Source organism: Homo sapiens, chromosome 3, assembly GCF_000001405.40.
Source record: "Homo sapiens chromosome 3, GRCh38.p14 Primary Assembly".
In the NCBI taxonomy this organism is placed as follows: Eukaryota; Metazoa; Chordata; class Mammalia; order Primates; family Hominidae; genus Homo; species Homo sapiens.
The window spans coordinates 152422350-152438836 of NC_000003.12; the positions used below are offsets into that span (position 1 = coordinate 152422350).

The window sequence follows — 16487 nt, forward strand, 5'->3', positions numbered from 1 at the left end:
AAGAAGGGCATTACATAATGGTAAAGGGATCAATGCAACAAGAAGAGCTAACTATCCTAAATAGATATGCACCTAATACAGAAGCACCCAATTCATAAAGCAAGTTCTTACAGACCTACAAAGAGACTTAGACTCCCACACAATAATAATGGGAGACTTTAACACCCCACTGTCAATATTAGACAGATCAACGAGGCAGAAAATTAACAAGGATATTCAGGAATTGAACTCAGCTCTGGACCAAGCAGACTTAATAGACATCTACAGGACTCTCCACCCCAAATCAACAGAATATACATTCTTCTTAGCACCACATAGCACTTATTCTAACATCAACTACATAATTGGAAGTAAAACACTCCTCAAAAGGTGCAAAAGAACAGATATCATAAACAGTCTCTCAGACCACAGTGCAATCAAGTTAGAACTCAGGATTAAGAAACTCACTCAAAACCACACAACCACATGGAAACTGAACAACCTGCTCCTGAATGACTACTAGGTAAATAATGAAATTGAGGCAGAAATAAATCAGTTCTTTGAAACCAGTGAGAACAAAGACACAATGTACCAGAATCTCTGGGACACAGCTAAAGCAGTGTTTACAGGGAAATTTGTAGCACTAAATGTCCACAGGAGAAAGCAGGAAAGATATAAAATTGACACCTGAACATCACGATTAAAATAACGAGAGAAGCAAGGGCAAACAAATTCAAAAGCTAGCAGAAGATAAATAAGTAGGATCAGAGCAGGGCTGAAGGATAGAGATACAAAAAACCCTTCAAAAAATCAATGAATCCAGCAGCTGGTTTTTTGAAAAGATTCACAAAATAGATGGATCACTAGCCAGACTAATAAGAGAAGAATCAAATAGACACAATATAAATGACAAAGGGGATATCACCACTGATCCCACAGAAATACAAACTACCAGCAGAGAATACTATAAACACCTCTATGCAAATAAAGTAGAAAACCTAAAAGAAATAGATAAATTCCTGGACACGTACAGCCTCCCAAGACTCAACCAGGAAGAAGTCGAATCCCTGAATAGAACAATAACAAGTGCTGAAATTGAGGCAGTAATTATAATAGCCTATCAACCAGAAAAAGCCCAGGACCAGACGGATTCACAGGCGAATTCTACCAGAGGTACAAAGAGGAGCTGGTACCATTCTTTCTGAAACTATTCCAAACAATAGAAAAAGAGGGACTCCTCCATCACTCATTTTGTGAGGCCAGCATCGTCCTGATACCAAAATCTGGTAGAGACACAAGAAAAAAAGAAAATTTCAGGCCAATATCCCTGGTGAACATCGGTGCGAAAATCCTTAATAAAATACTGGCAAACCAAATCCAGAGTACATTAAAAAGCTTATCCACCATGATCAAGTCGGTTTCATCCCTGGGATGCAAGGCTGGTTCAGCATATGGAAATCAATAAACATAATCCATCACATAAACAGAACCAATGACAAAAACCACATGATTATCTCAATAGATGCAGAAAAGGCTTTTAATAAAATTCAACATCCCTTCATGCTAAAAATAATAAACTAGGTATTGATGGAATGTATCTCAAAATAATAAGAGCTATTTATGACAAACCCATAGCCAATATCATACTGAATGGGCAAGAGCTGGAAGTATTCCCTTTGAAAACTGGCACAAGACAAGGATTCCCTCCCTCACCACTCCTATTCAACATAGTATTGGAAGTTCTGGCCAGGGCAATCAGGCAAGAGAAATAAATGATATTCAGGTAGGAAGAGAGGAAGTCAAATTGTTTCTGTTTGCAGATGACATGATTGTATATTTACAAAACCCCATCATCTCAGCCCCAAAACTCCTTAAGCTGATAAGCTACTTCAGCAGTCTCAGGATACAAAATCAATGTGCAAAAATCACAAGCATTCCTGTACACCAATAATAGACAAACAGAGAGCCAAATCATGAGTGAACTCCCATTCACAATTGCTACAAAGAGAATAAATTACCTATGGATATAATTTACGAGAGATATGAAGGACCTCTTCAGGGAGAACAACAAACCACTGCTCAAGGAAATAAGAGAGGACACAAGCAAATGGAAAAACATTCCATGCACATGGATAGAAAGAATCAATATCGTGAAAATGGCCATACTGTCCAAAGTAATTTATAGATTCAATGGTATTCCCATCAAGCTACCATTGACTTTCTTCACAGAATTAGAAAAAAAAAAAAACTACTTTAAATTTCATATGGAACCAAAAAACAGCCTGTATAGCCAAGACAATCCTAAGCGAAAAGAACAAAGCTGGAGGCATCACACTACCTGACTTCATACTACAAGGCTACAGTAACCAAAACAGCATAGTACTGGTACCAAAACAGATATATAGACCATTGGAACAGAACAGAGGCCTCAGAAATCACACCACACATCTACCACCATTTGATCTTTGACAAACCTGACAAAAGCAATGGGGAAAGGATTCTGTATATAATACATGGTGTTGGGAAAACTGGCTAGCCATATGCAGAAAACTGAAACTGGACCCCTTTCTTGCACCTTATACGAAAATTAAGATGGATTAAAGACTTAAATGTAAGACCCAAAACCATAAAAAGAAGACCAAGGCACTACCATTCAGGACATAGGCATGGGCAAAGACTTCATGACTAAAACACCAAAAGCAATGGCAACAAAAGCCAAAATTGACAAATGGGATCTAATTGAACTAAAGAGCTTCTGCACAGCAAAAGAAACTATCATCAGAGTGAACAGGCAACCTACAGAACGGGAGAAGATTTTTGCAATCATCCATCTGACCAAGGGCTAATATCCAGAATCTACAAATAACTTAAACAAATTTACAAGAAAAAAAAAAACATCAACAAGTGGGCAAAGGATATGAACAGACACTTCTCAAAAGAAGACATTTATGTGGCCAACAAATGTATGAAAAAAAGCTCATCATCGGTGGTCATTAGAGAAATGCAAATCAGGGTCCGGGTGTGGTGGCTCACGCCTGTAATCCCAGCACTTTGGGAGGCCAGGGCAGCCGAGATCAAGACCATCCTGGTTAACACAGTGAAGCCCTGTCTCTACTAAAGATACAAAAAATTAGCCGGGCATGGTGGCACACACGTGTAGTCCCAGCTATTCAGGAGGCTGAGGCAAGAGAATCGCTTGAACCTGGGAGGCGGAGGTTGCAGTGACCCGAGATCACGCCACTGCACTCCAGCCTGGGTAACAGAGAGAGGATCTGTCTCAGAAAAAAAAAAAAAGAAAGAAATGCAAATCAAAACCACAATGAGATAGCATCTCACACCAGTTAGAATGGCAATCATTAGAAAGTCGGGGAACAACAGATGCTGATGAGGATGTGGAGAAATAGGAATGCTTTTACACTGTTGGGAGTGTAAATTAGTTCAACCATGTGGAAGACAGTGTGGCAATTCCTGAAGGATCTAGAACTAGAAATAACATTTGACCCAGCAGTCCCATTACTGGGTATATACTCAGTTTTGTAAATCATTCTACTATAAAGACACATGCACACGTATGTTTATTGCAGCACAATTCACAATAGCAATGACTTGGAACCAACCCAAATGTCCATCAATGATAGACTGGATAAAGAAAATGTGGCACATATACACCATGGAATACTATACAGCCATAGGAAAGAATGAGTTCCTGTCCTTTGCAGGGACATGGATGAAGCTGGAAACCATCATTCTCAGCAAACTAACAACAGGAACAGAAAACCAAACATCTCATGTTCTCACTCATAAGTGGGAGTTGAGCAATGAGAACATGTGGGCACGGGGGGGGAACATCACACACTGGGGCCTCCTGGGGGTTGTGGGGCAAGGTGGGGGATAGCATTAGGAGAAATACCTAATGTAGATGATGGGTTGATGAGTGCAGCAAACCACCATGTCCATGTCACATGTATGCCCATGTAACAAACCTGCACGTTCTGCACATGTATCCCAGAATTTAAAGTATAATAAAAATCAAAAATAATCAAAAAAATAAAACTTCTGGATTCTTTTTCCAAATTATTATTTTTACTTTGTCACATACTGTCTGGTGCAAATTTTGTCTGATGAAAAATTGGTACATAATTTAACCAAAAATAGGCTGTATATCATGGCTTGCAACCTGGAGACCTCTGGTAGATTTCTTTAGTGCATCCCAGCCAAGTGTCCTTCAGAAATTCTGTTGTTGCCAGGCTCTCTTCATTGCCCTCAAAGAGCTCTACATAAGCAGTGGTTATAAAGAGCTTTGCATGATATCTGGAGTTTCTCTAGTAATGGTCTCATGTGCCTTTACCTGTGATCCCAAAGTTAACCTTGGCTATCTATAATTTGTGATGGCAGCTATTCTTTGGGTAAACAAATTAGCTATCTCAGGGTCCATAATTTGTGTAGAAATCCTGTGCATTACATGAACTTTGAAATAGCCTAGGAATAGAGAAATTCAGTTTCTGGTTTTAGCTAATGTCTTGAGAGCTTCTTTGCTGCTTCTGTAACCTAGATAGACTTTGCTGTCACATCATGTTCCAAGCATTTGTTGCCATTCAGATGCAGAATGCTTTGAAGTCATCATTTGTCATTCATTCTTCCAGGAACACCTAGAATTCTTAAATAGTTTTTTGGTTCTTTACTTTCCACTTTATCCAGGTAATGGTTGAGATAAGGCACTTTATCCCAGAGTGTTTCTGGTAAAATGTTTCCATGTCAGTTTCTCTGAGTAGTCTTTCATCCATCCTGCTGTTGTTACTGCCTTTTTCCATTAAGGAGCCTGTGAATCCTCAAACAGCCTGAGAGAATGGGCCCTGGATTTTAGGAACTAGGCCATGCCTGGTTGATACCTTTCTACTAGGAAGTCCAGAGTGTTCTTTATTTAAATGTTTGTTATTTCAGTCAAACTGGATTGAAGGATAAAGTGAAACTAAGAATGAAGGAGGTACTCATTGATTTATCCAGTTACAAGTCAGTCTAGGAGCAAAGTTATAACAGTATCTCTTATTTTATTCGTCATTTGCTACCCTTTTTTTAAAGATAGAGGGTCTTGCTTTGTCACCCAGGCTAGAAGGCAGTGGTGCAGTCGTAGCATACTGTAAGTTCACACTCCTGGGCTCAAGTGATTCTCCTGCCTCAGCCTCACAAAGTGCTGGGATCATAGGCCAGACCCACTGTGCCTGGCCCTGCTTTCTTAGAAAAAAAGAACTTTATAATATGAATTTGTTGATAACTCCTGTTAGCTTTTGGCACTGTTTATATTCAAAATAGTTCAGTGAGACTAGTTACAGGGTTATGCCTACCCAGAAACATGCTTTCATATACCTTGATTATGTGTGCTTTTTTAAAAAAAATTTTTTTATATTAAAAACATTTTTAAAATAAAAATTTTAAAAATTTTAAAAAATATTTAAAAATTAAAAAAATTTTTTAAAATATTTTATTTCTTTATATACATACATAAAATCTAGAATAATATGACTTAAAATTTGTGATCTGTGAATTTCATCTGATATTGATTACATATTATTTGTTACATATACTCCCTCTATTTTTTTTTTAAATCTCAAACATTGCAAAACAAACAGTGTTCACATGGTGTTTTAAGATAAATATCAGCCCCTGTGATATTTGCAACATTACAGCATGGTAACTACATTACTGAAACTTAGAAAGCTTAATATAAAAAATTGCAAAACAAAAGGAAAAAATAAACTTTGGACAGGTATATTAGAGATAGTAATTATTGAATTTTGAGGTAAAGAAAGAAACAATCACTTTTATTTCACATTCAAGTATATATTCTAAAGAATATTTAATGTATTTGCTTGTTTCTGTGGCAGAGAAAAGCAGCAAATCCATTAGTATATATGTTAAGTAAATGTTTGTAGAAGATCTGTATAGATGCTAAACGCAGCGTATACATAACATGAACAAGACATAAAGCAAAAGTCTGCCCTCTAGGAGCCTCCAGTCTTGTCAGACTAGAGGAGATATTCAGGTAAACACTGGCAGTGGTATATGCTGATTCGAGTAATTAGGAGTTCGTGGGAACAGAGGGTAAGAAAAACCCCTTTATAGTTAGAGATGTAGATGGATCAAGAGAAACTTACCTAAAGAGTCCTAATTCTTGAAGCACAATTAGGAATTAAACAGATTGGCTAGGCACAGGTAGCATTCAATGTGGAGGATAAACCATGTTTAAAAGAAAAGAGCTATAAGGGAACATGTATCCTTAGAGACCTTACTTACAGTCAGAAAAATGTACCTATATCTGTAGAAAACCACATAGTGTGTGGAACTAGAATCACCTAGGAGCTTTCAAAAAATACTGCCACTTACCAGAGATTCTGACGAGTGAGGAGTGGCCAGGGCATTCACGGTTTAAAAGTCCTCCGGATGATTTTAATGGACACCTGGTTCATTGTGTGAAAACCACTTTATCACAACCACTTGGAATCAGACATACCTGTGGTCACATCCTAGGCCTTTGATTCACTCATTTGTGTCTATAGACACATAATCTTTGTGATCCTTTTTCCTTATCTGCAAAAATGGGGCTAATACCCACTTCAGAAGGCTGCAATTCACTCATTCATTCATTCACTCAAGTACTAATTCAACAGGTATTTATTGAGCGCCTACTGTGTGCCAGGCATTGTTCCAGGCTCTGGAGATTTAGTAGGGAACTAAACAGATCTCTTCTGATCTGTACCCCTCAAAAAACACAAAAGAAAAGAAAATTACCAAGGGAATTTATACTCTACTGTTGTAAGGATTAAATACAATAAATAGCACCGATAAAGCACTCAGCATGATGCTGACACAAAATAAATAAGGAATTACTACTAATAATCATGTTTGCATAGTTAACTGGGGTCATAATATGAAATTAACACTTTGATTTATAATGAAGTCTGATTACCTTAATGGAATCAATGTCTGATTTAAAACAAACAAGTGATTAACCCATAAACAGCACCAGAATTAGTAAGTTTGTACTTTGTTTTTCTCTGATGAGGATGTTCATTGGCAAAAGGCAATTATAAACCAAACTTTCTTATGTCTTTCAGGAACAGAGATACTTACAAATCATTATCACAAGAATATAGTCAGTATCAAATATACCAATTACATTGTTATATGTTATCCTTCAGAGAAAACAGGATGCCACTTGATAACAACATTGCATTAATATCTGTCTTTGAGATTCTGCTGAACCCCCTGCAGGTTAGCTTTTGGAATAGAAAACTGGCAGTAGTGCAGGTCAAGTGCTTTCCTAATCTGATTTCTCTGATTAGGGCACTCTCTGATGGGGCTAGCAGTGACCTATCTTCAACATGGCGCTCCTTGAAAAAACAATATAACTAAAGTGATGTAACAAATTTACAAAAATTTAAAATAAATGAAGGAATGGTGTGTGTTTGTGTGTGTGTGTGTGTGTGTCTGTCTGTCTGTCTGTCTTTTGGAATCAAGTTTCAAAGTATAAAGCTATTGTTACTGATTGTCTGCCTGTTCGGCAAATAGCTCTACTTATCGAAAGAGGGAACAATTTGAGATAGTGCTTGCTGAATAGTTGATGTTTCACATTTTTAAACGCTCCTACCGACTTTACTTGGGGACAGTGCCCTAAAATTGTTCAGATTTGAATTTGCTCTGCTGAATTAAAGTGAAAGATCAATTGTCTTGATGACTCTATAGAAACAACTCAGGAAATATTATTGCCAGTTATTAAAAGCAGTATTTTTACATAATAAAAGTATTATTCTGCCTGTAATGTGCAACAGCTGCATCATATGCATTTTTAGATTTCCAGTGTATTTTATTTGACGAGATTTAGAGAGCTGAGTTTTATTAGCCTCTGGTCTCATTTTATTAAAATAAAAATTGCTTTTTCTTCCAAAAACATTTTTAAATTTGACCTTTGCTTTTAAATAATTATAGTAGATTATGTGCAATAATATAAACATCTCAATAACTTTCTGAAGTATACATTAAAAATGCACTATCTGGAAATACATGTTTATTCATAGTAAAAGAATGCAAAGAGGAATGATAATGAATAGCTTCTGTTGTCCATTTGCTAAACTAGTCTGTTAGTCCCCTGACATAGACTCTTTTAGTCTTCTATGCTAAATTTCTTATAATTCTTAAATGACTAATATAGAAATTAGGGTGCTGGTCTGGCTGGATTTTCATATGCAATCTGACAATGTATAACAAAGTACAAGTTTAACCTGAATATCCTTGAATAGAAATCCAAGTTCAACATATATTCAGTATACAATCAATCCTTGTCCTGCTGTCACCTGGGCAGAGAGTGGACAGTGGCACAGCATTAAGTCAGCTGCGGCTCAGGGAAGTGTTGGTGGACAGAGAATGCCCTAGGCCCTAGTTTCTGACAGCTTGTTGATAAGATTTGGAATGCACAGATAGTTCTTGTTGTCTGCAGGTTGCTGCTTTGTGCTGGGAGGGGTTGGGGATTAGAGGTGCTACTTGAGGGCACTTCATCAGGCAAGAGCCATCGACCTGGCAGAGCAGCTAAACATGGCATTCAAACCAACATGTTCAGAGGCATAATTATTTTAAGTTGAAATGGTATAATCTATATTGTATTGTTTCTTCTCAATGAATCACATTAGGTATTACATATTCTGTTTTTTCATATTTTTGTTAGTAAAAATGTATAGCTAAATGCAAAGAGTTTGTTTCCCAAGCAATTTTTGAGGTCAACAGAAGAGTTCCCTAAGAAAGGCCTTCTTAACATTGACAGTATTGACTTTTGGGGCTGGATAATTCTTTGTTGCGAGGGGCTGTCTTGTATGTTGTAGGACACTTAGCAGCATCCCTGGCGTCCATCCATTGAATATAATAGTTCCCCTCCAGCTGTGACAACCAAAAATGTCTTTAGACATTGCCAGGTGTCTCCTGAGAGGCAAAATAACTCAGTTGAAAACCACTGCCCTAAGAAAAAGGGAATACTTGAAATTCATTTTATTTTTCTAAATATAGAATCAGGGCCAGAGTGAATAGAGGATATATTTTATCTTTTAACAAATTTCTTTTGTACTATAAGAATTACATTTGTAATATATACCTTATATTGCAAAAAGTTTTACTACAGAGCTCTCTTGAATACTACATATATTCAGATATCATGTAACTTCTTATTCCTGTCAGATGGCAGAATTAGTTATTAATACATTCTAATGTCTCTTTTATTCTAAAGAGTCTTCTATAATTCTGTTCATTACTGCTGAGTAAAGAAAATAAATTGTTAAATATTACCTTAAAGAACAGCATCCGTTTTGCCTACAAGCTTTTGTGTTTCAGAAACAAACATTATTAAACGAAGCATTAAACTTCAAGAATTAGAATTGAGACTCTATTAGGAAGTTAAAAATGTACTATGAATAAGGTATGAAATTGTGTTCTGTTATACTTTAAATACTAGAAAAACAAATTGTTAGATTTCAGGTAAATTAATGCTATTCAAGAACAAATATATTTTATGATATGCAAGTTTGCATATCAACAAATAGAAACAATCCTTATATATCCACGAAAGCATTTCTGGAAGAAATTCTGTCTTGTAGCAGTTTATTCAGTGCTGCCATATGTATTTCCTTGACCAATCATGTAGCATTTCTTTAGTAGCAGTTCTACTTCAAACTTCACATTTCAGACTTGTTTTCCCCTAATAAGGTGTGATAGGCTAGTGGAACACTTATAATTTCCCCCAGGAAAATCACCATCAAGTAAATATACCAAACACTTTATCTTATGTGCTCAAAAGGCAAGGTGTCATCATCACCTTTCACATACCCCATGAGATTTATTTACAGCTTACATTGACTGTGAAACTCTTTTATCCCCTGGGAGTTCTACTTTATTTATTCCAGATAATAGGACACTTGCAACCTATTAACAGTTGTAAACAGGTCTTTCAAGTACATCTGACATAGCAATTACAAAATGTATTTGTTAGACAAATATCTAGAATTAAATCAGGACAAAGATGAAGATTAGATGACCACAAGAAGTTTCTGCATAGTTTATCTATTTTTCAAAAAAAAAATACAAGTATTATAGACCCTCAGCTACAAAATTCCAGTGAATAATTTAATGGATATTTTACTTATTATATTTTAGAAAAACATTGATTTGATGAATGTTTATTTAATAAAACAGCCTTACCCTAAATGATAGTAAATGAACACAGGATTAAAGGGAAGGAGGGAAGGCCTAAGGAAGAATGGATAGATGGATGGAGGACAAATGTATAATTAAGAATATCAACTTTGAGCTGAGACCTGCATGTTAAATTTTGCTTTTATTTTATTTTTCAGCCAATGTTTTCAGTTGCACCAAGCTTAGCCACCAATGCATCAGCAGCCGCCTTTAATCCCTATCTGGGACCTGTTTCTCCAAGCCTGGTCCCGGCAGAGATCTTGCCGACTGCACCAATGTTGGTTACAGGGAATCCGGGTGTCCCTGTACCTGCAGCTGCTGCAGCTGCTGCACAGAAATTAATGCGAACAGACAGACTTGAGGTAGGAATGACTAGTTGGTGTCTTTATATACTACATTCTAATTCTCAAAGTGTGGTTTTTTGTTTGTTTGTGTGTTTCCATGGCCAAAAAGTTGTAAAAATTTTAAAACAGATTTTGGCTTAGGGTTTGGAACATTTTACTAGAGTATAGATAATGCTGTATTTGATTAATGTAACGTTTATAAAGGCTACAACATCCATGTTTAGAATAGTGGATAAGAGGTTGGACGCTAAAGTCACATTGCCTGGTTACATCACTGTACCTCAATTTCCTCATCTTTAAAACGGCGCTTACCTCAAAGAGTTAGGGGAATATCTGGCACATAGCAAATGCCTCCTGAATGTTTGTTGTTGTTGTTGTTGTTGCAGCTATCAAGAATAACAAATATTATCAATCCCCTAAAAATTGTTCTCATAAAGATTAACAAATATTAGTGTCTATAAAACATTTTACAATTTATTATTGCAAGTTTCCTCATAAGCTGTACAATATTTTGGTTGAAGTAGAAAGAAAACCTTATGAAGTATGCTCTCATAAAAGTTTTTTGCGGCCGGGCGCGGTGGCTCACACCTGTAATCCCAGCACTTTGGGAGGCCGAGGCGGGCGGATCACGAGGACAGGAGATCGAGACCATCCTGGCTAACACGGTGAAACCCCATCTCTACTAAAAATACAAAAAATTAGTCGGGCGTGGTAGCGGGCGCCTGTAGTCCCAGCTACTCGGGAGGCTGAGGCAGGAGAATGGCGTGAACCCGGGAGGCAGAGCTTGCAGTGAGCCGAGATCGCGCCACTGCACTCCAGCCTGGGCGACAGAGCGAGACTCCGTCTCAAAAAAAAAAAAAAAAAAGTTTTTTGCATAATCCTCTAAGTTCTAGAGTAAAGGATGATCAGATGTGTGGGCTCTGCTGTTGGTACATGAAAAAGATATTAAAGTTTTAAATCTTATTTCAAAGTGGTTGTTCAGAATTTCAGCATGACTGTGAATTAATGAATTTGGTAAACTATAGATGTAGAGAAAAAGTGACAGCATCAAATGTACACTGAAGGTACAAACGTGTCATTCATTGAACCCACCTAAAGAACAAAATGACCTTTTCCTCTTTTCCCTGGTGAGGATGAGGCAATATATTTTTTTAACTTGCATTTTAGGTTCAGGAGTACATGTGCAGGTTTTTATATAGGTAAACTTCATATCATGAGGGTTTGGTGTAGAGATTATTTCATCACCCAGATAATAAGCGCAATACCCAATAGGTACTTTTTCTGATCCTCTCCCCTCTCCCACCATCCACCCTCAAATAGGCCCTAACATCTGTTATTTCCCTCTTTGTGTCCATGAGGTCTCATCATTTAGCCCCCACTTACAAGTGAGAACATGTGGTTATGTGGTTTCCTGCTTCTGTATTAGTTTGCTTAGGATAATGGCCTCCAGCTCAATCTGTGTTGCTGCAAAGGACATGATCTCATTCTTTTTTATGTCTGCATAGTATTCCATGGTGTATATGTACCACATTTTCTTTATCCAGGCTACTATTGATGGGCACTTAAGTTGATTCTATGTTTTGCTATTGTGAATAGTGCTGCAGTGAATACACGTGTGTGTCTTTATGGTAGAATGATTTATATTCCTTTGGGTATATACCCAGTAATGGGATTACTGGGTCGAATGGTATTTCTGTTTTTAGGTCTTTGAGGAATTGCCACACTGTGTTCCACAATGGTTGAATTAATTTGCACTCCTACCAGCAGTGTATAATTGTTTCTTTTTCTTTGCAACCTTGTCAACATTCATTATTTTTTGACTTTTTAATAATAGACATTTTAACTGGTGTGAGATGGTATCTAGTGGTTTTGATTTGCATTTCTCTAATGATTAGTGATAATGGGAATTTTTCATATGCTTGTTGGCCACATGTATATCTTTCTTTGAAAAGCATCTGTTTATATCCTTCACCCACTTTGTAATAGGGTTGTTTGTTTTTTGCTCGTAAATTTAAGTTCCTTACAGATTCTAGATATTAGACCTTTGTGGGATGCATAGTTTGTAAATATTTTCTCCCATTCTGTAGGCTGTTTACTCTGTTGATAGTTTCTTTGGCTGTGTAGAAGCTCTTTAGTTTAATTAGATATCATTTTTCCATTTTTTTTTTTCGTTGCGATTGCTTTTGGCATATTTGTCATGAAATCTTTGCCAGGTCCTATGTCAAGAATGGTATTTCCTAGGTTATCTTCCAGGGTTTTTATAGTTTTGGGTTTTACATTTAAGCCTTTAATCCGTCTTGAGTTGATTTTTGTATATGGTGTAAGGAGGGGGTCCAGTTTCAATCTTCTGTGTATGGCTAGCCAGTTATCCTAGCACCATTTATTGAATAGGGAGTCCTTTCCTCATTGCTTGTTATTGTCAACTTTGTTGGAGATCAAATGGTTGTAAGTGTGCTGCATTATTTCTGGGCTCTCTGTTCTGTTCCATTGGTCTGTGTGTCTTTTTTTGCACCAGTACCATGCTGTTTGGGTTACTGTAGCCTTGTAGTATAGTTTGAGTCAGGTAATGTGATGCCTACAGCTTTGTTATTTTTGCTTAAGATTGCATTGGCTATCCAGGCTCTTTTTTTATTCCATATGAATTTTTAAATAGTTTTTTTTCTAATTCTGTGAAGAATGTCATTGGTAGTTGGACAGGAATAACATTGAATGTATAGCTTGCTTTGAGCAGTATGGCCATTTTAATGTTACTGATTCTTCCTATCCATGAGCATGGAATGTTTTTCAGTTTGTTATGTGTCATCCATGATTTCTTTGAGGAGTGTTTTGTCATTCTCATTTTAGAGAGCTTTCACCTCCCTGCTTAACTGTTATTCCTAAGTATTTTATTCTTTTTGTGGCAATTGTGAATGGGAATGCACTCCTGATTTGGCTCTCGGCTTGGATGTTGCTGGTTTATAGGAATGCTACTGATTTTTATACATTGATTTTGTGTCCTGCAACTTTGCTGAAGTTGTTTATCAGATCAGGGAGCTTTTGGGCCGAGACTATGGGGTTTTCTAAATAAAGAAACAAGTTGTCTGCAAACAGGGATAATTTGACTTCCTCTCTTCCTATTTGGATACCTTTTATTTCCTCCTCCTGAGGATGAGGCAATACTTAGTGCTGATAAATTTTACTGAGAAACTGGCAAACTGAGGCTGTTGTATGAACATAATTGATTCTAATACTTTGTCAGTTTAGCAGGAATTTAGTTAATAAGCTGATTTATTATTTATTAACTTTTGTTGCATATATTACAAAGGCTGTCAGATTTTAGCATATTGACAATCATATACCAGACACATGCATCGCAGGTTTAATGCTCAAAACAATCTTATGAGGAAGATACTATTATTAATTCTCTTTTACAGGGAAATGATTTTAGGAGAAGAGATGTGAAGCAACTCTTTCTTGTTAGGTAGATACACCTGATACACCTGGATTTTTGAGTGATTTGTCATTACACAACTGTACTTGCTTATTAATTAACTAATGCTGTTTGCAGATGGATTAAGAGGAAACTTAAAAATTTTTAAATATCTGAAATTATTGGATCCTCAGCATGTGAAGCAGTTTTATTCCCCCAACCTTTCTAAAGCAAACCCTGAGTTCTTAATGCATAATTGTTGATTGATTAGTGGGATCCAAATAAGAAGTCTGAGATTAACTTTAATGAATTAATTATTAATAGATGATATTCAAAAAGCTGGTTATAACTCTTCTAATCCAATCCTGCCACATTCACAGTTTCAGGTAGTTTGTTACTGGTTATATTTTGTAGTGCTTAATTGAAATGAAGACTTTTGTCTTTGAGTTTTTTCTTTTTGTGAGGAGCTACTTAGCGTATTTTGTCTGTTTTCTTTTGCTGTAGTCAGCACAAACGGTTACAACTGCATCAACTGTCATTTCCCTTTTATCTGAATCCTGCTGATCTAAATGCTTGATTGTAGTGCAGCTTCCTGTCTTATTCTTGTTAACAGGATCTGATCCAGTGTCACAGTTACAACCTGTTAGGATACTGCCGTGTGAAGCTCAGAGGCTTATCTTTCTGCTCTGTGCTTGTGATTTTAGACAATCCTATCTGCAGGTTATTTCCTCGCATGCTAATTGCATTACGTATTGAAGTCTAAAAGACATGGCAATAAATGCACACACTTATTAATTGACCAAATGTTTGGTCATTTGGCATTTAAATGTATACTCTACTTCTTCCTTGTGAAATTCTGAAGCATATTTTTGAATGTTGAGTTCCTTCTGAGGTGAAAAATTTTCGGAATCAGTTAAACTATTGGCCAGTTCTTCTTGCCACTTCTTCCTCTCTTTTTACTGCAACTTGTTAGACAGTAAAGAAATTTAAAATACCATAGATTGTCAGCCTTCTGGTTCTTACATAATTGCTTAAAACTGACATCTTTACAGCACCCAGTGTGATACTACAGAAAAAAAATGTTAAATTGGAAAACAGGAATTCAAGAATTACTGCATGTGATGTTGCTAATTAGGTGAGTCAGCTTGGATCGAGATGCTCTTATTCTCTGGGCTTCATATTCCTTACATGTAAAATTAGGGGGTTGCACCAGATAATCTCTAAGGTCACTTCCAGTTAGAACATTCTAGGGACATTTAGGTCATTTTCTTGTTTTTAACACCAGCCACAAGCTACTGAAACATTTATTTTTAAAAATTATATACATATATCTATAAGCATATATTACATATATCACATATACACACAACATGAGATTTATATCAATATTCATATTATCCTTTCTTTACTGACTATCTTTTAAAAGACTTTGTTGCCAAGTACTTTCTGTACTCCAAAATTCATACTTTTTTTTTTTTTTGACACTAAGTCTCACACTGTTGCCCAGGCTGGAGTGCGGTGGCGCGATCTCAGCTCACTGCAACCTCCACCTCCCAGGTTCAAGGAATTCTTCTGCCTCAGCCTCCTGAGTAGCTGAGATTACAGATGTGTGCCACCATGCCCGGCTAATTTTTGTATTTTCAGTGGAGATGGGGTTTCACCATGTTTGCCAGGCTGGTCTCAGCAATTTCTTTCCAGGATTATGTTAAGAAATTATTCAAATCTGTAGAGTCTAGGAAAGACTGAGTGTTTTAGCCATACCCCTGCTTTACTACAAAGAGTTAGTAATTGGAGAAATCATTGTTTGACTTATTTTCAAGATGCACAGTAATTTTTTATGGTGCAAAAAGAATTCATGAATGCATTCATTCTCTCATTTACTGAACGATATTCAGTAGAAAACTGTTGAAAATATTTCAAGTAGAAGATGTGAGAAATGTCTTTGAAATGCTTTAATTCCTGTCTTATCAATGACAATAAAAGATCCACATGAGAATAGTGCCCAAACTCATGACTGATGCCCAGTAACTTGTTAAATGAATGGATAAATGAGTCAGTCAACCAGTTACTCAGGTAATTAAACACAGAAAGATACATCCCCTTATTCAGGACTCAGGGTAATCCCACAGAGGTACTAAAATATAAAAAATGTTTATCATGTGTTAACATTCTCCTTGGAAACATGTTTGCATTTTGAGCACTTCAGCTATAAAATACAGCATCTTGGTTATGCACCTAGACCTAAAGGAGTGGTTTTCATACTTTAATGAGATTAGAATCACATGGGGTGATTGTTAAAAATGTAGGACCTCATCCCCAAAGATTGATTCAGTAGATCTGCAGTGGGGTTTGATAATATTTTTCTGCCATGTGATTCTAAATGCAAATAGTTAAAAACACATGCACTAAAAGATACTAGCATCTCTTATTTAGGCTTCAACTTTTTCATCGTTTACTTAATGTATTTGTAAATGATATGGTTTTTTGTGAAACTTAATTAAAAATCTGTCTCCTCAGATAAGTTG

The 16487-nt window shown here is 36.5% G+C and overlaps 1 protein-coding gene across 130 annotated transcripts in view; it reads left to right on the forward strand.

The window, feature by feature from the left end:
* Positions 1 to 16487, forward strand: part of MBNL1 (muscleblind like splicing regulator 1) — a 222149-nt gene that overhangs the window by 178718 nt on the left and 26944 nt on the right. For 105 of the 130 annotated variants that reach the window (NR_170697.1, NR_164857.1, NR_164858.1 and 102 more), the window contains one exon: positions 10368 to 10571. The exons of the other annotated variants lie outside the window; for them this stretch is intronic. Coding sequence is in view for 90 of the 105 variants with exons in the window: in NM_001376819.1 (NP_001363748.1) it covers positions 10368 to 10571 (204 nt within the window). In the remaining 15 variants the exon portion in view is untranslated. The remainder of the gene's footprint in view (positions 1 to 10367; positions 10572 to 16487) is intronic. 130 annotated transcript variants of the gene reach the window in all.